This window comes from Homo sapiens, chromosome 16 (assembly GCF_000001405.40).
Source record: "Homo sapiens chromosome 16, GRCh38.p14 Primary Assembly".
Lineage (NCBI taxonomy): Eukaryota > Metazoa > Chordata > Mammalia > Primates > Hominidae > Homo > Homo sapiens.
This window is the reverse complement of record NC_000016.10, coordinates 72,977,605-72,999,759: the sequence shown is the minus strand read 5'-3', so window position 1 is coordinate 72,999,759 and position 22,155 is coordinate 72,977,605. Positions and strand designations below refer to the sequence as shown.

The window sequence follows — 22,155 nt, the reverse complement described above, 5'->3', positions numbered from 1 at the left end:
CAAAGTGTGTGTGGTCTCGTGGGCTCAGGTGAGACCCCTGCCCACGCTGGCATCGAAGGCTGTCCCATGTCTGACTTGTATCGTGCCCAATAGGATGGGGTCCTGACAGCTCTCAGGATAGATGGGTCACCCCTGAGCCAATCCTGCCCAGATCTGGACTGAGCCTGCGAAGTTTTCTGGTTAGCGGTTGCTGTGAGCATGCCTCCAAAGTTTATGCCCTGTGGACATTTTTCTTCTGCTTATAGTGATTCCCAAGCCTGTGGATTTGTCCTGTGTTTGTTTGTGCCTTAAGATTTTCCAGGTATCCAGGCATGTTGGCTCATGCCTGTAATCCCAGCACTTTGGGAGGCTGAGGTGGGAGGATCACTTGAGGTCAGGAGTTCGAGACCAGCCTGGCCAACATGCGAAACCCTGTATCTACTAAAAATACAAAAATTAGCCGGGTGTGGCGGCATGTGCCTATAATCCCAGCTACTCAGGAGGCTGAGGCAGGAGAATTGCTTGAACCTGGGAACCTGAGAGGCGGAGGTTGCAGTGAGGGAAGATGGTGCCACTGCACTCCAGCCTAGGCGACAGAGCGGGACTTTGTCTCAAAACAAAAAAACAAAAGATTGTGTAGGCACCACCTCAGTTGATTATTCTGTGTAATCTCATGTCTGTAGCGTACATGTGACTAGGGCAGAAATAATTCAGAATAATCTCAGATTAGGTCAAAATGGAAGTCTCCTGTTTAAGAATGAGGAGATGTTTATGTGGCTACTACAGAGTTAACCACATGTCATTGCAAAGACAGTGAGTTTTCAAGTTAAAGGGTTATGAGGATTTTAAATTAAGAAACCCCAGGGGTCTAGTTTAATGGTGGACAAGCCCCAGAGAGACGATCTGATGGACCAGATAAGTTGTACACAATTCTGTGAAAATCTGTTAACTCCAGGCCCGGGCAGCTTAACTTCTTGACATGTCACCCAAATATAATTGTTAATGCCGTGGGAAAGAGTCTTGAGCAGCGGTAAGTTCTGTAAAGTCTGTGAGTGAGAACTACAAGCATGAATTATTACAGTGGGGCCAGATCAGAGTTATGTTTTAGGTTCTCATGATTAGAGGAAGCCAGGGTTTTACATTACTGCAGTATGTGGCCCCTAAGCACCCGAAATGTGGCTGGTTCGCCCTGAGCCATACTGTGAGTGTGGAACACATACCAGTTTTCCCAGGCTTAGTAGGAAAACAAGGGGAAACTGTCTTAATAAAACCTAGATCGATTACGTTTGAAATAATGTGTAGACAGATTCGGTTAAATAAGACATATTACAATGAATTTCACCTGTTTCTTTTTTCCCCTTATTAGTATTATTATTTTTTGAGACAGAGTCTCAGTCTGTTGCCCAGGCTGGAGTGTGGTGGCATGATCTTGGCTCACTACAAACTCTGCCTCCTGGATTCAAGCAATTCTTGTGCCTCAGCCTCCTGAGCAGCTGGGATTACAGGCATGCACCACCACACCTGGTTAATTTTTGTATTTTTAGTAGAGATGGGGTTTCACCATGTTGGCCAGGCTGGTCTCAAACTCCCGACCTCAGGTAATCTGCCTGCCTTGGCCTCCCAAAGTGCTGAGATTATAGGTGTGAGCCACCGCACCTAGCCTTGAATTATTTTTTTGTTTTTATGTTTTCATTTTTGTTGTTTGGACAGGGTCTTGCTTTAAATCACGGGAGTACAGTGGTGCAATCATGGCTCACTGCAGCCTCCACCTCCCAGGCTCAAGCAATTCTCCTATCCCAGCCTCCTGAGTAGCTGGGACCAGAGGTGCACACCATCACACCCAGCTAATTTTTTTCTTTTTTTGTAGAGATAGGCTTTCCCTGTGTTGCCCAGGCTGGTCTTGGAACTCCTGGGCTCAAGCGATCTTGCCGCCTCGGCCTCCCAAAGTGTCAGGATTGCAGCTGTGAGCCACTGCACCAGGCCCCTCCCCTTTTTTAACATGGATACTGGGAAATTTAAAGTTCATAGATAGGTGGTTCCCCTTTTAGATGAAGGATTTACATGAAAGATGGTTAAAGAAGGAAGAGCCATAGATGTGTGGGTTATGATTCTGGCCAGTGAACTTTGTGGAAAGTCAAACCTGGCTCCAGTGGGGAGTGCTGTGAATAAGTCTGGGGGGAGATGATCTGTATTTGCTTTTCAGATTACCCCACCTTAGACAGAACTTTGTCAGATTGTGTCCCACTGGCTGTGATCTGACTGGAAAGTGAGGAGACAGATGTGTAGCGAGAAGACTGAGTCGCTGCCTCCTTGGTGAGGCAGAGGCAATGGGGCTTCACCCTGGGGAACCCTTGAGGGCAAGGGTGGTTACTCAAGACTTGGAACAGCCCTCTTGAGTAAAGAACTCTATTGCTCAACTGTGGGACCTTTAAAGGAAGGCAGCTGTTGCTCAAACAGAGACGTCTGGACCCTCAGAATCCGGTTGTTCAAGTTTCACAGCCCATATGCAAGACAGCACCATTGAATTCTCCAGTGGGATGGAGACCGCCATGATATGCAAGACAGATCTTACCCCGCCAGTGACAGATGGGAGCGATAGAGCAGATTCCCACAGAACCTGTTTGTGAAGCTGCAGGAACACTTGTGCAGTGTGCCCTTATAGAAAAGTTAGATTTCTGTTTGTGATTTCCTTTCTCAGGGTTGGTTTGGGAGGGTCTGTTTTTGAGCCGGGCCCAACGGTTCTCTTTCCGGAGCACCAGGATCTTGCGCTTCTGCCCAGAAGCTGGGTAGCTTTCTTGGCCACACTGAATGTCCAGCCTTACTCTTGGCTTTTACCAGTTTAGGGGTCAAGGGTTGACCATACCAGTTGTCAGTAGTAATACCTAGAGGGCTAGCAAAACGAGGCTGACCTTAAGCTTCTTTTAAGTTTGTCTTTTCTTTGTGATCCTGGATCCGGAGTACTGGTCAGACCAGTCCATATCTGGCTGATTATTATCAACAAAGTAAACTTAACTCTGTGGCCAGAAACAGTCCTTAGCATCCAGCAGCTTAGGTTTACCAGGTGAAACTGCCAGAACTCCGTGGTTGGATTGCACTCAGGGCAGGGCCTGGTAATGCAAGGAGTTGCACAGGCGGGGTTCCCACGCCCCCAGCCCCTCCCCGCCTTGTAGGCTCACAACCAGTTATGGAATTTATCTTGTTATTAGGTTTGTCTCTTTTTGTAGAGAGTTGATGGATAGTTGTTAGCATTTTGGTGCTTAAGGATGTCTGGATAACTGCATGGGTTATAGATTCTAGCCCTTTATTGAGGACCAGCTTCTTGGCTGCTTGGTGCTCTGGCTCTGGGCACACTGGTTTACAGAAGATGAGAAGACACAGTCTCTGCTGATAAGAAAATCATGCTTAGTTGGACTGATCATTGTCCATGCAAATAAGTATCTACACTGAGGGGCTTAGGAGAAGCAAAAGAACGAATTAATTAATTAATTTATTTATTTTATGTTGGAGTCTTGCTCTGTCACCAGGCTGGAGTGCAGTGGCACGAGCTCAGCTCACTCCAATCTCAGCCTCCCAGGTTCAAGTGATTCTTCTGCCTGAGCCTCCTGAGTAGCTGAGATTACAGGTGCCCGCCACCATGCCCGGCTCGTGTGTGTGTGTGTGTGTGTGTGTGTGTTTAGTAGAGACAGGGTTTTACTGTGTTGGCCAGGCTGGTCTGGAACTCCTGACCTCAGGTGATCCACCCGCCTTGGTGTCCCAAAGTGTTGGGATTACAGACGTGAGCCACCGCACCTGGCAGTAAAAGAACGTATGAATATGCCTTCATAATTACCAAGATAGGACAGTGCCTCCTGAGCAGAACATCGAGAAATTCTGGAGCCTAAGGCCCTGGGCAGCTGGAAAATACCGACGTTTATTTGTGTTTTCAATTGGCGCTGTTCTCATATGTGCTCATTTGACCCTCTTAATAATCTTAGAAGTCATTTGGCCAGGCCCAGAGCTTTCCTTTGTTGATGGTGAAACGCTGAGGCCCTGTGAAGTTGCATGATTGGCCCAAGGTCTTGCAGCTAGGGAGTGGCAGGACCCAGCGCGGGGTTTGTGGGCGGATTCCCGTGTTCTTGCTGCACACCATGCCACATCCATGGCTTAAGCCTCTGCAGGAGCTTGGAGAGCTCTGAGGACTGACAGCCTTTGTGTTTCATATTAGGGGAATTTGGGGCCTGGTCTTGGGGAGAGCAATATGACCGCTGTAGTTGTAGTTGTGATCGGAGGGACAAAGAAGGTGTCCATCAGAGAGGTTTGTGCCAGCGGTTTAATTTCCTTTATTTCAGGACTGGAAGTTATTTAAATTACTTTATAGACTTCCTGTTTCCTTCCAAGAGCTCATTAAGTCCGTGCTGAACTGCTTGCTGGGTTGCCATAATGGAGTGCCTGGATCTGCAGTTCCCGTTCCGTCCTCCAGGGCACCCAGATTGGAGAGGCACGGGCGAAGAGTGGAGGGGAAAGTTTGAACAGCTTGTTTATGGTGACCCCTTTAATTGACATGCCATTAGGACTCGACATTTATTATTTTCCTCAAGGATAAAGCGTGCCCTGGACTCTGGACTCTGTAGAATATTTTCTGAAATGTGTTAATTTCACCATCCCATTTTGGAGAAGGGGCAGGCACCTCTCATCTGGCTGTAGGAGTGGGAACCCTGTCTACATTTTTGGTGATTGGAGTGCAGCATTGGACTAAATGGGGCGTTAGGAGCAGATTACGGGGAAGGCTGAGGATTCCCCTGGTGATCAGGAAAACACATTGGTGTAATTGGATTACCTTAACCCTTCATTTAACTTGATGGGAATGCTTTCAAACAGGGGTTCCGGAATATTGCTACAGCTTTTCAACCCTGTCCACAGGCAGCTCTTGAAGAGATGTGCATTTGACTAGATGATTTACCTTGAAACCTGCCAAGAGAATAATTTTAGGAAACACCCCCGCCCCTTGTGCCTCTTTAATTGTTCCGTCAGGAGGAACCTTGGTGCTGAGCACTGGTTCTGTTGAGAAGTGCTAATTAGAAATAATAGCTACAACAAACAAGTGTTAGGAGGCAGCCTAAGTGATGTCAACATCAAGAAGCTGTCATTGGCTCCCTGCAGATGTGCGGGCCAGCTGTGAGGCAGGGGAGCCTGCTGCTCCCTGCCATCCACCTGGGGAAAGGTAGAGGAGGTAGGAGTCGGATAGGCTGCCATAGCCAGGCCCCCTTGGCTCGATGACTTTTGTTCCTTGGTTTGAGGTTCTGTTAATGCACTCTAAGTCCCATTGGTACTCAATATGGACTCAATTTCAGCTGGTCCAGAAAGTCTTGGGGGAATCCCAGAAATGGCACCTGGGGGCTTGGGGAGGGGAAGTCATTCCATCCCAGGAGGCAGACAAGAATCCTTCTGAAGGTGGAAGTAATACAGCGACTTAAATATAACCTGAGCCAGACTTGCATGTCTAAGTGAATGCTGAGTCTTAAATATTCATTTACAATGTTAAAGTCTATAATTTCTTCATAAAGAATTCTAAAATAATAAAGATGACCTGGTAGGCAAAATTCACTTGTATTTTCTAAAAGCTTTTGATAAGGTCCCTTATAAAAGATTAAGAGAGAACAAAACCACAGTGTGGCACAAAGTCCTTGTTGTGGATTAAAAAATGATTAAGTGATAGGGAACAGAAGAATTCTGGTGGAGACCCACTGCTTGTAGCGGGGAGAGGTTAATAGAGGGGTGTCTGAGAAATCTGTCGTCGGGGCTGGAGTTATTAAGTATATTAATTGTTTGGAGAAGGAAATGGAGGGTGAATTAGTGCACTCGGCTGCTGCTACCCTGGTTTTTATAACTGGATTCAACCCAGAGAGTCTCTACAGCCCCGAATGCATTGGGGGATCGGGCAGCACAGTGGCAGAGGAAATGAAGTTTGAAGACGTCTAGGGTGTAATTCAGGTTGGCAGAAAGTCTGGTCCACGTGGGAAAGCTACCATGCCCCCTGAACTTGCCGCCTCTCCTGAGGACAGAGGTTCAGGAGTTATCGTGAGCAAACAGCAGTTCAGTGAAGTGACTTTTTAAGTACAAAACAGATAAAGGAAATTGGAGTGGGGAGTGGTGGGCTTGAAAAATAAAGGGTTTTCTTAGGAAGGATGAAACAGGCGCTGCTGTGCTGTTGGGCATCGCTTGTTGTCCTGTTAGAGTGAGGAGGGATGATTCTTTTCGTCTGACAATGTTCTTTTTTGTGCAGTTTTAGGTATTTTTAGAGTCATGAGGAGGGCAGCTGCTCTATTTGGAAGTGCTCACATCTTTATTTCTCAATGGGGATTTTGCACGTTATTCTGAAACATGTTAATACATGTAGGCAGCTAACGGTAGGGGGGCCTGTGGACAGGTCTGGTGGAATCACCAAATCATAGCAGATGATACTACGGATCTCTTAGCATAGACCACATGGCCTGGCATCTAGAATCTTGTGATGCGAACAGTGGGCCATACAGGGTGCTTGGGTGAGGAGTGATTTTGGTTGAGTGGGTGATAGGAGCAGGCAGCCAGGCTGGCCAGCCAGGCCGGGGGACCTGTCTTCATGTGTCCTGCCTTTTTGCAGTTCTTGTTTTTTTTGTTTGTTTGTTTGAGATGGAGACTAGCTCTGTCACCCAGGCTGGGGTGCAGTGGTGCGATCTCGGCTCACCACAGCCTCCACCTCCCAGGTTCAAGCGATTCTCCTGCCTCAGCCTGGGAGTAGCTGGGATTACAGGCGCCTAGCGCCATGCCCGGCTAATTTTTCTATTTTTAGTAGAGATGGGGTCTCACCATGTTGGCCAGGCTGGTCTCAAACTCCTGACCTCAGGTGATCCACCCGTCTCAGCCTCCCAGAGTGCTAGGATTATAGGCAGGGGCCATCGCGCCTGGCCTTTCTGCAGTTTTTGATGCCCCTCGAAGGCTCTTTGGTGCCTTCCTTCCGCGGCTGGAATGAGTTTCGTGTGCACGGCCATCCACCTTGAGAGGTTGTACCTTTCTGAATGGGCTGTTCCAAGCAAGCCATACATTTCTTTCTTGGTCAGTCTCCTTTATTTGCTAATTTCCTTTTGCTGTCTGTCTCTTTACATGGGTGCCACTTTAATTAAGACCTAGAGAAGTGCTGGCCTCCATGAGAAATGTGGCTGAGTCCCCTCTTTTGGCTGTGAGTAAATGCCTTTGTGTGGGTTGGGATCCCTAGGAGGCACCCCCCTAGGGAATTTTTGCAATCTTGGCCGAGCATAGTTAGAAGCTGCAATTACTACTTGGTTGCTAATTACCCAGCCTCACATTAGATCCGTTTACAGGGAGAGCTTGGAGCCTGTCAGCAAAGGTCAGCCGGAGGTCCTCTCACTAAACAGCCCTCTTGTGATAGCTGTTGGAGGGGAAAGGCATTAATGGGGGAAGGCAGGGAAGCTGGCTCTGGGCTGTAGGATCCTCGCTGTGGGGGATGGGAGAGGCAGAAGTGCTGTTGATGGCTGCAGAGGTCAGAGAGGCTGATAACCCATCTCATAACCTTTCTCAGGAGGCCTGGAGGAAGGCGGAGAAACGCTTTCATTTTGGAGGCTCTGCTCTAGCAAGGAGGGAGATGGATACTTAGAAGAAACTAGGACCTGTGGGTTGGGGACTTTTAATGGTTGACTATGTGAGAAAGATCAGTTCGGCGACAGCCTCTGAGAGTGGAAGAGACCCCTCTGCCCCCAACTCAGGGCATCATTTCTGTTGTTTCTTTGTACTGCCTATACTGTATTATTTGCTTTACATTTTTCTTTTCACGGGATCCTCCGTTATAACCACAAATACCCACCTTAGCATCATCCCGAGCAATTGTGTCTGAGGAATCACAGGCTCGTGCTGGTTGGATTGGCTCAGATAAACATTGACTGGCTAATGACCAGAATGTACAAAGTTCACCCACTCCCACCTGGAACCATCTAGCCCCTGGCCAGTGTTGCGTGGGTGAAACACCCTGAAAAAAGATGATGGAAAAGACACTGGCCTGGAAGTCTGAGTACTTGTGTGTGACCATGGACAAGTCTCTCTGCTTCTCTGAGCCTCAAAAGTGAGAATACGGCCTTTGTTGGATTGCTATGCAAATGACATGAGAACATGTTCTTTGTCTGTATAAATGTTAATAAATATTAATATAAGCATTAATAGCTAACCCCTATTAAGCATCTACTGTGCTAAATACTTCACTGTCTCATTAATCCTTACAACCCTATGGGGTAAAGATGATCCTACACCCATCATATGAGTGATGAACTTGAGGCCCAAAGTCTGTAGCAAATTTGCTGCTGTTAAATGGCCTCTGCGCTGGGATGCCAGCTCAGAGCATATACTCCTAGCCACGACAGCAGTCCCTCTTTATCCTTGGGGAGACATTCCAAGACACTTAGTGGAATGTCTGAGAGGGAGGATAGTATCAAACCCTAGGTAGACTATGTTTTTTTCTCTACCTACATGCCTATGATAAAATTTAATTTATAAATTAGGCACAGTAAGAGATTAACAGTGATAACTAATAATAAAATAGAACAATTAAAACAATATCCTGTAATGACAGTTATGGGAATATGGTCTCTCCTCTCTCTCAGAATATCTTACTGTACTGTAATGTGGGTAACTGAGGTCATGGAAGATGAAGCCTCGGATAAGGGACTGCTATACTATATTATCCTAATGCTATACAGTACATACTATGCTGTGTATAGGACTTCTTTGTCATTAACCCATTTCTCTCTCTTTTTTTTTTTTTAATTTTATTTTTTGAGACAGGGTCTCACTCTGTCACCCAGGCTGGAGTGCAGTGACGCGATCTTGGTTCACTGCAACCTCCGCCTCCCGAGTTTAAGCGATTCTTGTACCTCAGCCTCTCGAGTAGCTGGGATTACAGGCATGTGCCGCCACACCCGGCTAATTTTTGTATTTTAGTAGTGGCAGGGTTTCGCCATGTTGCTCAGGCTGGTCTCGAAGTCCTGGCCTCGAGTGATCCACCTGCCTCGGACTCTCAGAGTACTGGGATTACAGGCATGAGCCACTGCGCCCAGCCATTATTGACCCATTTCAAGGTGTTAGTTTAGTGCTTCTCTGATATCTGCCTGTTGGGTACATTATTAGACAAAAATCGTTTAAAGTGAGGAGAACTGGAAAGAAGAGGGTGCTCAGCTCCTCCAGGGTGGATCCCTTTTAAGATCGCTCAGCAGCTACAGCAAGGTCTTCAGCACTCAGTTCCTGTCTGTTTGTCCCATCCGTGGCTGGGACAGGCCTGGACTTCCCCATAGCTCTCTCCCGCCCGCTTCAAATCAGGGCAAGATCAGTATGTGGTGATGGGGGCCTTGGAGGCAGGGGCACGATGTGTGAGACTGATAACGTTCTTGCAGCCTGAGACATGGGCTTTAGAGCAGTTTCGAAACTCTGTGTTCTCTCTCTTCACAAGTACAATGCGTTTCCCTGGCATTTACAGGCCAGGACCTGGGAGAACGCCGTGTCGTCTTAAACCTCAGAAATTGCCAAGTGACAGTGCCAAGGGACGGGTTTACTGGTTTCCCCTCCATCGGACTGAGTGCAGCTGCCCTTCCCCACCCTCCTGCAGTTAGGGAGGCGTGTCCCTCTTTTGACTGGCTGAGTCAGAAATCAGCCAGGACTTAGCGCTTTTTGATTTGAACAGAAACGGTGGGGGGAAAAAAACCCAAACCTTGTGGTATTTTATAATTCGGGAAAGTTGGTCTAGAGAGGGCCAGCGAATTGGCTGTGGGACCCTGTTAGGGAAAGGTCTGGGCCTCCTGACTCCTGCTTTCTCTTTTCCTGAGCCAGAGGAGCCCCAGGCCTGTGCATGAAACATACTTGACAAAACTAAATTTTTACTGAATTTCCACCCCTTGGGTGCTGACTAACACCACTTCCCCACATATAACTCTGCGTCCGCATAATTAACATATAATTTGATACCTGGAAATTCATGCAGGGTGGAGCTGGAATGGATTACTCAGCTTTTGGCAATTCTTCCTGGGCTGTAGAACTCTGTGTGCTGCATCTTGCTTCTCCTGTTACTGCTAACTCATTTGGCCCATATTCTTCCCACTTATTTCTTCCTTCTGCCCTGGAAAGATGAGTGAAATAAGTATGTGGTATGTTTTTGTCATTGAAGCAACTGAAGGATTGTTGACTTATCCATGTGCACTGTCCACTTACCTAGTATGCGTGTTCTTAGCCTGCTTCTCGCATTGGCTGGTGGAGTTTGATAGTGCCATGGTTTCTTTTTTTTTTTTTTGAGACAGAGTGTCTGTCGCCCAGGCTGGAGTGCAGTGACACAATCTTGGCCCACTGCAACTTCCACCTCCTGGGTTCAAGCAATTCTCCTGCCTCAGCCTCCTGAGTATCTTGGATTACTGTCATGCAGCACCACGCCTGGCTAATATTTGTATTTTTAGTAGAGACAGGGTTTCACCTTGGCCTGGCTGGTCTCAAACTCCTGACCTCAGGTGATCCACCCGCTTCGGCCTCCCAAGGTGCTGGTATTATAGTCATGAACAGCCGCACCTGGCTCTGTTTTAATTTTTTTTTTTTTTTAATTTGAGACAGCGTCTTGCTGTCTTGCCCAGGCCAAGAGTGCAGTGATGTGATCTTGGCTCACCGCAGCCTCAAACTTCTGGGCTAAGTGATCCTCTTGCCTTGGCCTCTCTTAGCTGAGACCACAGGTGTGCACCACCACTTCCTACTAATATTTGTATTTTTTGTAGAGATGGGGTCTCCCTATGTTGTCCAGGCTGGTCTCAAACTCAGGGGCTCCTGTGATCCTCCCACTTTGGCCTCCCAAAGTGCTGGAATTGTAAGTGTGATCTCTGTGCCTAGCCAGTACCGTAGTTTATTTCATTGCCTGCTTCCTCATCAAGATGATGCCATCAGTATTAAAAAATGCAGTCAGTAATTATCAGTGAAGAATAAAGATGAAAAATTATGATGATTTTGCAATTTAAATTTATAGCATATGCTGATGGTTATAAGTTTTGTTGGAGAAATTATTTATTGTGTTGACACATGTATTAATGTGGGGGAATCATGGCTCTTAATGTACATGATACCTGCCTTTATAGATTGAAAGACTGGGTGAACCCTGACCTGTTGCAGGGACCCAGTTAGTGCAATTGAATTCCAATCAGGATCACTTGGAAATGAATCCAGAAATCCGCGTTATTTGAAAAGAAGTGATTTAGAGCAGTGCAGAGGGAAGATTGTATATGGTGTGAGCTCAGAGGAAGGCTGGAGTGAATCCCTTAATCAGAAATGTTTGGCGGGTTCCAGCCTGCATATCGACCCCTCGATGGCCACAGCTTCCTGATCCAGTGGCTGGAGAAGGATCTTGGGTCCGTGTACCAGCTAAGCATGCACCCTTCAGTCAGCTGCAGGAAAGGTGGGAGCGGGAAGAGTAGCTCCGGGACTGGCTGGCTGTTCCCTGCCCTAGACTGTGCTTATGAGCCTTTCAGGTTTTGAGAACTTGACTTTGGAAAGCTTCTAAATTTGTTCCTAGTGGGTTGATGTATTTTGTGGAGGTCAAATTAGAGCTAATGGCCTTAATGGTTTACAGTGCTCCTAAATGGTTCTTAGCACTTATGCAGGCTCGACTGGCCCTGTTGGGCGGGTTTCCAAGTGTGGACCATATTGTTCTTAGGGTATGTTTTTTGCTGAAGTTATTGTTGGGAGGACAGATATGTGCAAGTGAGGTTAAAAGGTAACAGCAGAATTAGCCACATATAATATTAAACTTTCTTTTGGTATCAAATCCAGGGAGGTGTTTGTTAACATGGGCCCCGTGAGCATATGTGAATGAATAGGGCGTCCAGCTTGGAGTTCAGTAGGTGGCGTTTGTCTGTCCTTTGCCACTTTGCCTAGGAGCAGGTGATTCATGAAAGGCAGTCCTAGGGAAGCCTCAGATTCCCTCCGGCCATTCCTGGTTGCCAAATAGTTCCTCTAAGAGCAGGTAGCCAGGTTAAAGGAATCCCTGGTGCATCCCTTCCAGCCATGCTGTGGTATCCATGAGTTCATGGCAAGGTCTTTGGCAAACGAATGATACTCTACATAAAACTGGCTCCAGTGTTCTGATTTCTGTGTGTTTGGGAGTAGGTGGGGCAGAACCAGATGTCTATAAAGGAGCTGCATGTCTGTACTGGTCCACACCATTGAAGCATACATGTGTACACAGGCACAGTGTGGGGGCAATGACCTCCCAGAGCTGCTGGTTGCAGCTGAATGGGAAGAAAATAGGGCAGGTAGAGGTCCCTCTACCTAAACTGAGGTGGCAGTGGCAACGGAGACCAGGAGCACTGGTGAATGATTTCTCCATGCTTTGATCGGGGAGGGTGGGAGGTGGAAGCAGCCTCCACATCATCTTACTTTGGCCTGTCAGCTCTCAAAGTGGTGTCCCTTCAATTGCAAATGTTGTTTTGAAGGCCTAGTGCTGTAGAAGTCTATTACAGGTAAAATATTCTTAGCTGCTATGAGAGTTGAGTGAGGGATGGGTGCTTGCCTTCTAGCTGCTGATGGAATGACTACTGAATTCTCCTTAAAACTTGAGTTCTTTGTTTTGTGTTGAGACAGGATCTCACTTTGTTGCCCAGGCTGGCGTGTAGTGGCTGGATCACAGCTCCCACAACTCACTGCAGCCTCAGCCTCCTGGACTCTGGTGATTCTCCCACCTCAGTCTCCCGAGTAACTGGGGCTACAGGTGCTCGCCACCACACCTTGCTAATTTTTGTGTTTTTCGTAGAGGTGGGGTTTTGTTTTCGTCGTGTTACCCAGGCTGATCTCAAACTCCTGGGCTCAAGCGGTCTGTCTGACTCGGCCTCCAAAAGTTCTGGAATTACAGGTATGAGCCACTGCACCTGGCTGGGTTCTATGTTTTTTCCATTTCACACTCTGAAAACACACCTTCGGTATATTTGCAGAGCCCTGAAGTCCTGGGGCTGCCATCCTTAATCGCAGGACCCAGTGGCTTTCCCCTAAGAGGTCCGAAGAACATGATTATACTACCTGCGAGATGCCTACTTATATTGAAAAATATGTCTGCATTGCAGTTCCTCTTGAACATGAGGTGACAGCATTGGAGACGGTGCCGATAATTCAATAACTTGCGTCTCGAGGAAAACGGTGGTGTCTGTGACCAAGAAGGAGTTAATTTCCACTGCTAATAAAAACTAAATGGGTGCCTTGGGCATGATAGAACTTGGGACCCAAGCCCAGTTCAGCAGCCCAAGTCACAGTTGAGTAGTGTTGGCGGAAATGCATTCTACAATCAGCATTTGACCATGTTCAGTTAGCTTCATGGCCACCAAGTTCTCCAGAGAAGTTTTAATTACAAACCAAGGTGGTGTGGTTTCTTAAATGTGTTAGAACAAATGGATGTCAGCCCAAGGAGCCCTGAGCAGCCCCCCTCCATCGATAAAACCCCATAATTATCACATGGCGGGTCCTAAGGAGGAAATCTGAAGGCCCTGAGTGGCTGTCGGCTGTGCTTCCGTCCTCCCCTTCCTGAAGTTGGGGGCAGGGTGAGGGTGGAGAAGGACAGTCTGTTCTTTAGAGAATCTGAGAGTGAAGCTCCACCCAGGACGGGCCATGGAGTGCCTGTCCCTGGGAAGAACATGTTAACCGCCCAGGGGTGAGGCCTGCTTTTTGGGAGTGGGAGATTGTGGGGAGTTGGCGGGGTGGGGGGTGGTTAAAAATGGAAGACCTTGAAATGGCAAATCTTTATTAGTTTTGTAAACAGCTTTAGGAAGCGCTGGGAGCATCTTGCAGGGACCCTGCAATTATCATAATAAACAGTTTTATCATCTGCTTGGCAATCAATATTGTGGCTTACACTGCTTTAGTATCTCAGTGGTATTGATTACCTTAACAACTGTGCTGCGGTCAGCTTCCATTAACCCCTGCTCTGCCGGCAGAGCCTGTGCCTTCCCTGGTTGGGCGGAAGACTGCTCTGGTCACAGCCCAAGCAAGTGCCAGAATGTGACAGCTGCTAGTGAGTTCAACACAGCTTGTATCTGAGAGCGTCCAGGAGAAGGGAGGGTTTTAACCAGGGAATCTGGAAGCCAGTACAACTTTTTAAAGGCGTCTTTTTGTGTGTGTGGAGACAGTGTATTAAAACAATTATAGCAGTGGGATTTCAACTATGACTCAGGAATTTGAATCTCAAGAGCGAAAATTCCATTTCTTCCCTGCCTTGAGTCTGTCCAGTCCAATGTTGTTCTCAGCTCTGCCTCGCCCTCCCTGGGGAAAAATTGACGTGTGTAGAATTTAATTGAGGACACCCTTATGCAACTGGCTTTCCTGGGACTCCCCTCACATTTGTTTTGTGATCCACATTTGACTTTTACAGAGAAACCACTTATTTGGGGACATCTAGTTCTAGGATTCAGGTTCCCCTGGATGTCTGGAGTTACATAGTTGATCATAAGATGACAGAATGCTGGAGAGAGATGTCGGTGGCGCCTGAGATGATATCAGCCTCACTGGATAGCCCATCTCTGGTGTGGTTCATGTTTACGTTCCCCTTTTCTCCTGATGAGAAGGTGACAAGGACAGTTTAGGAGAGCAGCTGGAGTCCAGTCTCCAGACAAAGCCAGTAGGCAGACCCCATCATTTCGAGATTACGTAGTATTAAGTGACGTTTCTCAGAAACTTGGGACAAGATCTTGCCTGTGGGGGCGTGTTGGTGTTCGTAGTGGTGGTGGTAGGGGTACGTGTGTGTTGGCTTTGTTTTTTTCCTCTTTTAATTGCTCTATTTTGTTTTAAATATGAGAGATGTATGTGTATATGTGTATAGGTATATATGCATATTTATATAAATATATCCATATGTATACTATATACATGTACATGTATACATACATATGTAAACATGTAATGCATATAAATTTTATATGTATAAATTCTGTTGAGGCCTGGGGTGAGCTTGCACACGATAGTGAGGTTTAGCCCCTTCGCCCCAGCCTTATTGAAGACCATCACGGGGTCCTCAACATTGCAGACCCAGCAACACAGGTGCTGTTCAACCTAAGGGACATTGACCTATAACATTGACCTCTAAGCCATCTACCACATCTCCTCAGTGAATTTTTTTTTTTTTTTTTGAGTCAGAGTCTTGCTCTTTGGCCCAGGCAGGAGTGGAGTGGTGTGATCGTGGCTCCTTGCAGCCTCAACCTCTTGAGCTCAAGTGATCTTCACACCTCAGCCTCCCAAGTAGCTGGATTCACAGGCGTGCACCACCATGTCTGGCTAATTTTTAAGGATTTATAGAGACGAGGTCGCACTGTGTTGCCCAGGCTGGTCTCAAACTTCTGGGCTCAAGTGATCCTCCCACCTCAGCCTCCCAGAGTACTGGGATTATAGGCATGAGCCACTGCACCTGGCCTCACCAGTGAATTTTTCAAGTTTGTGAACACAAGTTTCATGGAGTCACTGGGGAATGGAGGAGGAAGAGGCAGTAGATAGACTAGGAGGAAGGTTGAATCAGGGCAGCTGCCACCTTCCTGACTGTCTTGCCAGGCTGCAGCCTGTGGCTTGCTTATTCCTCTTTGCTGCCTGAGAGGAGCCAGGAGTGAAACTATCAGATGGGGAGGAAGCCAGCAGACAGGTTATTCAGATAAGGGCTGAGGCCTGTGCTTGAAGGAGCGTGAGCAGGTATAGGCAAGAAGGCTGCAGGTGTATGAGATTCCCACCCATGGGATTTAAGCCCCAGCTGGTCAAGGGTTCATGCAAAACAGGGTCAGGAAGCCAGGCCATAGAGAGCCAACAGCAAGATGGAAGGTTCTGGACTATAACTGGTGGGGCCGGGGGGTAATGGCAAGATATGACTTTAGTATCAGACCACAGGCTTACTGAGCAGGGCCTTACCCTGTACCCACACTTGGCAGTGGGTAGTTAGACCTGTGCTGGTGAGGGAAGGGCTCCAAGGACAGATGGTAGGAATGGTGTTTGACATGTGGTTGGAGAGTTGCATGGAGCAATGGCTTAAGCAGCCTTTCTCTCTCTCTCTCTTTTTTTTTTTCTGAGACAAGATCTTGATCTGTCACCCAGGCTGGAGTGCAGGGGCACGTTCATAGCTCACTGCAGCCTCGAACTCCTGGGCTCAAGCGATCCTTCTATCTCATCCTCCTGAGTAGCTGGGACTACAGGTGGGTGCCACCACTCCCAGCTAATTTTTTAATTTTTGTAGAGATGGGGGTCTTACTATGTTGCTGTGGCTGGCCTCGAACTGCCAGGCTCAAGTGATCCTCCCGCCTCGGCCTCCCAAAATGCTAGGATTACAGACATGAGCCATCGCACCTGGCCTAGGCCTTCTCTGTCGACCCCTTTGGGGTTGCCCTCATTCCAGCTGGGATGTTCGGGGATCCTGGTCATTGTTTTGTGTTCTGGATCTACTCACTCTGCCCCCACCCTTCCTCTGCCCAGATTACCTCATTCCATGAATTGGAAAGGTTTGTTTTCCGCATTAATGCTCTTCCTAAAAATGTCACTCAGCTTAGTCAGTTGGACTAAGAAGGTGGTCAGTGGTTATTAAGTTGCCTCATAAGTCTCATTGTTTTCTATCACGGTAGGAACAGGGGCTTCCAAGGGCTCCACCGTGATGGCAGAAAGTGGACTAAAGAAACTGCTCACACCCATAGAATAAGCGACATTCCTGACGGGGAAGAAGCCGGTTTCCTTCTTTTCTGTTTTACATAGATATGTGCACTTTGCTTGGGTCATGCTACAGTAATCCTGGGGCCCAAATCACCCTTTACGTTACCCCCACTGGTCCTAACCTGAACTCTGCGTTGACATGAGCTCCTCTGAGTTCAGCCTCCTTCATGAGGAGCTCCTGGACGTTGACAGCTTATTACATCTTTTTACAAATAGCCTTTTGAGCCGAGTGGTCAGTCTGCTTTGGATGACAGTGTTGTCTTTGCAGTCTAGGGTCTAAGAGGAGGAGTTGCACCCAGGCTACTCCTCAGATCTTAAACTTTTTTATGGGCCAAAGATCCTTGCTTCAGCACTTGGTGCTTTAGTGGATTTGTTTCTCGGGCCCTCCACCATTCTGGCCTATGTAAAAATTTACGACTTAATGTCTTGCCATCACTGTTCTGGTCTGTGTGGAGCAACTCAATATTTGGTGGTGTGTATAACTCTACTCCACTGAGGTGTGATCAATGAAAATACCTCCTTTGGGTCTTTGGCATCCTATCTTTTTCTCGTATTTAGATGATACATGTTTTGGAAGGATTTGGAAGCTTAGGCATGCAGCAGGTAGGTTTCTGTCTTTATTCTTCTTGTTTCTCTGTGAGTTGGTGATTCTCTTTAAGGAAATGATGCCTTCATGGAGCCAAGAGCACCACAGTAGAAACTGTAGCTTGTGTCCTGGTCCTTGCTCTGCAGCTAACCAGTTGCAGGACCTTGAGAAAGAATGACTCGTAGGAGTCACTCAGATGTTTGAATGAATTATTTTTTTAAACCTGTAAAATCGAAAATATGATTCCCATTCTATTTAAAAAGATTGTTAGAGGTCAAATGAGAGTGTTTGAAAATGTGTAGAAAGGCTGGGCGCTGTGGCTCACTCCTGTAATCACAGCGCTTTGGGAGGCCAAGGCGGGCAGATCACCTGAGGTCAGGAGTTCAAGACCAGCCTGGCCAACATGGTGAAACCCTGTCTCTACTAAAAATACAGAAATTAGCCGGGCATGGTGGTAGGTGCGTGTAATCCCAGCTACTCAGGAGGCTGAAGCAGGAGAATCGCTTGAACCCGGGAGGTGGAGGTTGCAGTGAGCCGAGATGGCGCCACTGCATTCCAGCCTGGATGACAGAGCGAGACTCCATCTCAGGAAAAAAAAAAAAAAAAAAAAGGAAAATGTGTAAAACGCTGTGTGCATGGAAGAAGCATTGTTATGTGCCCTTTGGAAGGCTGGTGCTGGGTGTGACTGTGCCCTTGGTCACATATTGGGGTCCCCGTGAAGAAGTCCATTGCACAGAGTGCTTCTGGGGAGCTTGCAGCATGGTGATGCGTATTGAAGTTGGAGGGTGTGCTGGATGTTGGGGGTGGGTATGGGCCCACATATGGCCAGAAGCCCACTTACCACTGGGCCGTTTACCTACAGAGCCACACTAGAGAACCAGCCCAATTGGGAGCAGTTCAGTTGAGGCTTTGCAAAGCAATTAAGGTGCTTATAAAACATTCATGCTGAGATAAAAGACAGTGTGCGCAAAAACAATGGCTGGTAAACATCTGATTTTTTAAACTCACTGAAAGTGTTAAAAATATTTTCTTAACCCGTTGAGTCAAGAAGTGGAGGCTTTTAATTCAACGGATGTATATTCTTCTTAATCAGACTTTGGCTCAAAGCTTGAAATCAAGCTGTTATATAACCTTAGGCTGTTAACTTTTGTAAACAGGCGCATTTTTGCTCAGTAATGATCGTGATAGCTACCACTTATAAAGGCTGTCAGGTGCTATGCCCAGGCGTGATGCATATTGTCTTTTTCTGTGTTCTTTTAAACATTAGCAGCCTGGTGGTGCTTGGTACCTTCTAAGAGAAGGAGTAAGAGTGGGGGTCAGTAGATGGTGGTGTTTGAAAGGAGCTTTAGAGATAGCTGGGGCCCGGCCTGGGAGGAAAGCCCTTCGGAAGAAAGGAGAAACCCACATTTCTTTGAAAAAAGGCTTGGCTTGCCATGAACGTATTGACTCAAGACTGAATCTCTTGGTTCTGGTCAATGCTGTTCTTTTAGAAGATGTTCCTGATAGCGAATGGTAACTTTTAAGGAAAAAAAAAATTACTGTATAAAAGTAGAAAGAATGATATAATGAACCCTTCCATAGTTCTATCACCTTGACTTAACAATGAACTTTTGGCTAGATTTGTTCCGTCTTTTTTGTCCGTTGCTGAAATATTTTGAAGCCAACGATATCATGCTGCTTCATCATTTTCTTATGTAAACATAATATTATTCCCTAACAAAACTGACTTTTTTTGAGACAAGGTCTCACTCTGTGGCCCAAGCTAGAGTACAGTGGTGCGATCACAGCTCATTGCAGCCTTGACCTCCCTGGTCTCAAGCAATCAAGTAGCTGGGACTACAGGCGCACACCACTGCACCCAGCTGTTTTTGTTTTTTTTTTTTTAACTTTTGGTAGTGATGGGGTTTCACCTTGTTGCCCGGGCTGGTCTCAGACTCCTGGGCTCAAGCAATCTGCCCGTCTCAGCCTCCCAAAGTGCTGATACTTGAGGTTTGAGCCACTGCCCCTGGCCAAAACTGACATTATTAACATGATCTAATCCCAAGTTGCAATTCAGACTTATCTGATTGTCCCCAAAATGGCTTTTTACATTTGGCTGGTTAGAACTGGCATCCATACGAAACTACATAGCGCATCTAGCTGTTGTTTGGTTCTTAGGTCCCCTTTAATCTAGAACAGTTCTCCTCCTTCCCCAACGTCCATGTGAGCCCCTACCCATCCAGCCAGCCTGTGGATTTAAAAGGATGATGCGGAGTAGCTTCATGTGGGAGGAAGGCACTGTTAGTGTGGTGTGAAGATACCCAGGTCTTCGTCCTAGCTCTGCCACTGACCGGCTCTCTGACGTCAGCAAACCACCAACACCCTGTGGGGTCAGTATTCTTGTCTATCAGTGGAAACAGTGAGACTAGCTGGCCTCACACTCAAGCCTTCTCATTATTACCTCCACAAAGAGATCCGGGAAATAGGGCTGCACGCCCTACTTGCACCTAGTCTTATCCCATTCTCAGCAGTTGAGAAATTACTGGAGCTAAATAATCCTGACCAATTGATTTTTTTTTCTCTTGGACATTGTAAATAGTGTACCTTTAAAAGCATACCTAGCATGCCTTTATCCTCTTGACTTTTAGAAAGCTTAGAGCCAAATTTGACTCAGTGTGTAGGTTATTCTTACATGCATTTTAAGCTTGATTTTTTTGGTTCAAAATTTCCTCCAGTTTTGTTTTTTCTTTCTTCTTTTGCCCGGGCCTCAATTTATGCTATGATGTTGTATTGTATATTGTAAACAGGATCAATAAATAACTGTGTGCTAGGTATTCTTATGGGGCCATCACCTAGTCTGTAAGCGCATTGATTTCGGGGTCCATGTCTTATATATTCTTTGCTTTGTTGAGGCACAGATTAGGTACTCAATAAAAGCTTCCTGAGAGATTTTGGTTGGACACATTGCCATCACTGGTCCATGTAAAATTTCCATTTTAACAGTGAAGAGTTGTGGGGAGCAGTGTTAATTTCGGACTGTGCCCTGGTTCTTCTGTGATCCATCTTTCCTATGGCGAAATGGCCTGTGGAGGTCTGGAGAGCCACCTGGCTGGTGGTGTTTTTCATAGAACTTGTCTTTTTGAGGAGCTCCTTGCTGTTTTTTCCATAGGCCTTAGGTAAGCAAAGCAATATTTGGCAGGCAAACAGTTGGAGGGATCTTAACTGCTAAAACAGTAACCATTCTGCGTATTCCGAAGAGAAGCCCACCTGTGGTTCCAGCCTTGGACACAGGAGCGCTGTTGTTGGGTGCTGAGGATGATGGAGGTGGATTAGTCACAATCTATCATCTGCTACATCTGTAAAAGAGTAAAGTAGCCCATCACATGTGCTCCACGCTCTCTTAGGACTCAGGTGTGAGCTCTCCTGTTGACACTCAGCTTTCCTTTGCTGCTTGTGAGAGTTTGGCCTGACCCTCAGGAAGGTGTTGGTACCAACTGGTTCTCTCCTTTACCTTCCTAGACCTCTGCCTCTTCATCTATCCAGGAGAGAGAGGGAGAAGAACATCTGTCCTAGAGGGTTAGGTGAGGACCAGAGTCTGGGCATGGTAAGCACCTAGCACAGTGCCTGGCACATAGTAGGCACTCAATAAATGGTAAGTGCCTTCAGGATCATCTCTATGACTGGCTGGAGGACATCTTTACAACTGTTGTATAGTGGCCTCCCCTTTTCTTGTTTGTTGACATTTGGAAGGGGATCCCAAGGGGCTGTGGAGATTGGTTGTAAGGATGTTTATTCTGCATCCCTGGAAGACTTTGCTGTAATCCATAGAGAAGCACCGAGGTGCCTTGTTGGTTCAGAGTCCAACGATGTCTCCCACCCCCGGCCGATGCTCTCCTAGGCCAGCAGCGTGGCGCTGGTCTTTTATTTTTCTGGGAGGAGAGCACTTCCAATCCTCTGGGCAGTGTGGACTTAGCCCAGAGGAAGGCGAGACCTCGGTCAGGGAGTGGGGGAAGGGGTCCTGGGTGTGGCTGGGAAGTTGAGGCTTATGGCCTGCAAGTTTTCTTCTAATGGAATTTCCCATCACTTACTGCCCTGCTGATTTCTGATCAATGAAAATGAAATTGCATCACCTCCTCAGAGGCTCCACGTATGCCTGCTGCTTCCAGCTGTGTCAGTTCCGGTAAAATAATCTCATCAGGCGTGTGAGAGGGTAATAGGAAATAAAAATAAAAACCCACAATTAACAAGAGGCCTTGTAGCTGAGTAACACTTTCCATCCCAGAGCAGAAAGGGCTGGGTCGTGAATGCTCGGGAAAGAGTTCCTTAGAAAGAAAAAAAATCCCAGGCTGGGTGCGGTGGCTCACGCCTGTAATCCCAGCACTCTGGGAGGATGAGGCGGGCAGGTCACCTGAGGTCAGGAGTTTGAGACCATCCTGGCCAACATGGTGAAACCCCGTTTCTACTAAAAATACAAAAATTAGCTGGGCATGGTGGTGTGCGCCTGTGGTCCCAGCTACTCAGGAGGCTGAGGCAGGAGAGTTGCTTGAACCTGGGAGGCGGAGGTTGCAGTGAGCCGAGATCGTGCCACTGCACTCCAGCCTGGGCAACAAGAGTGAGACTCTGTCTCAAAAAAAAAAGAAAAAAGAAAAAAAATCCCTGGTCCTTTTCTTCTTCCCCTTTTTCTTCTCACTTCCCCTGAATTCCATCTCTCCCCTCCACCCTGGGGTGCATGGTTTGAAATTGTGCACAGATTTTCATTGCCCCGCTTTTGGGGTCAGTAGAATTTCTGTGTGATATGCTCATGCTGGTGTGGCTTTTGCTTTTTTTTTCCCTGAGTCCCCTGCAGGTAGACACCAAGTGAATCGTAGAGATCCCAGCCTCTCCTCAAGAGCTGTGTGGAGAGT

At 47.1% G+C, this 22,155-nt stretch overlaps 1 protein-coding gene across 7 annotated transcripts in view; it reads left to right on the top strand.

The window, feature by feature from the left end:
• ZFHX3 (zinc finger homeobox 3) overlaps positions 1-22,155 on the top strand; it is a 1,109,046-nt gene that overhangs the window by 892,171 nt on the left and 194,720 nt on the right. The window contains exon 1 of one of the 7 annotated variants that reach the window (XM_047434167.1): positions 19,216-20,855. The exons of the other annotated variants lie outside the window; for them this stretch is intronic. The gene's annotated coding sequence lies outside the window, so the exon portion shown is untranslated. Of the gene's footprint in view, positions 1-19,215; positions 20,856-22,155 lie in introns of those variants that run through there. 7 annotated transcript variants of the gene reach the window in all.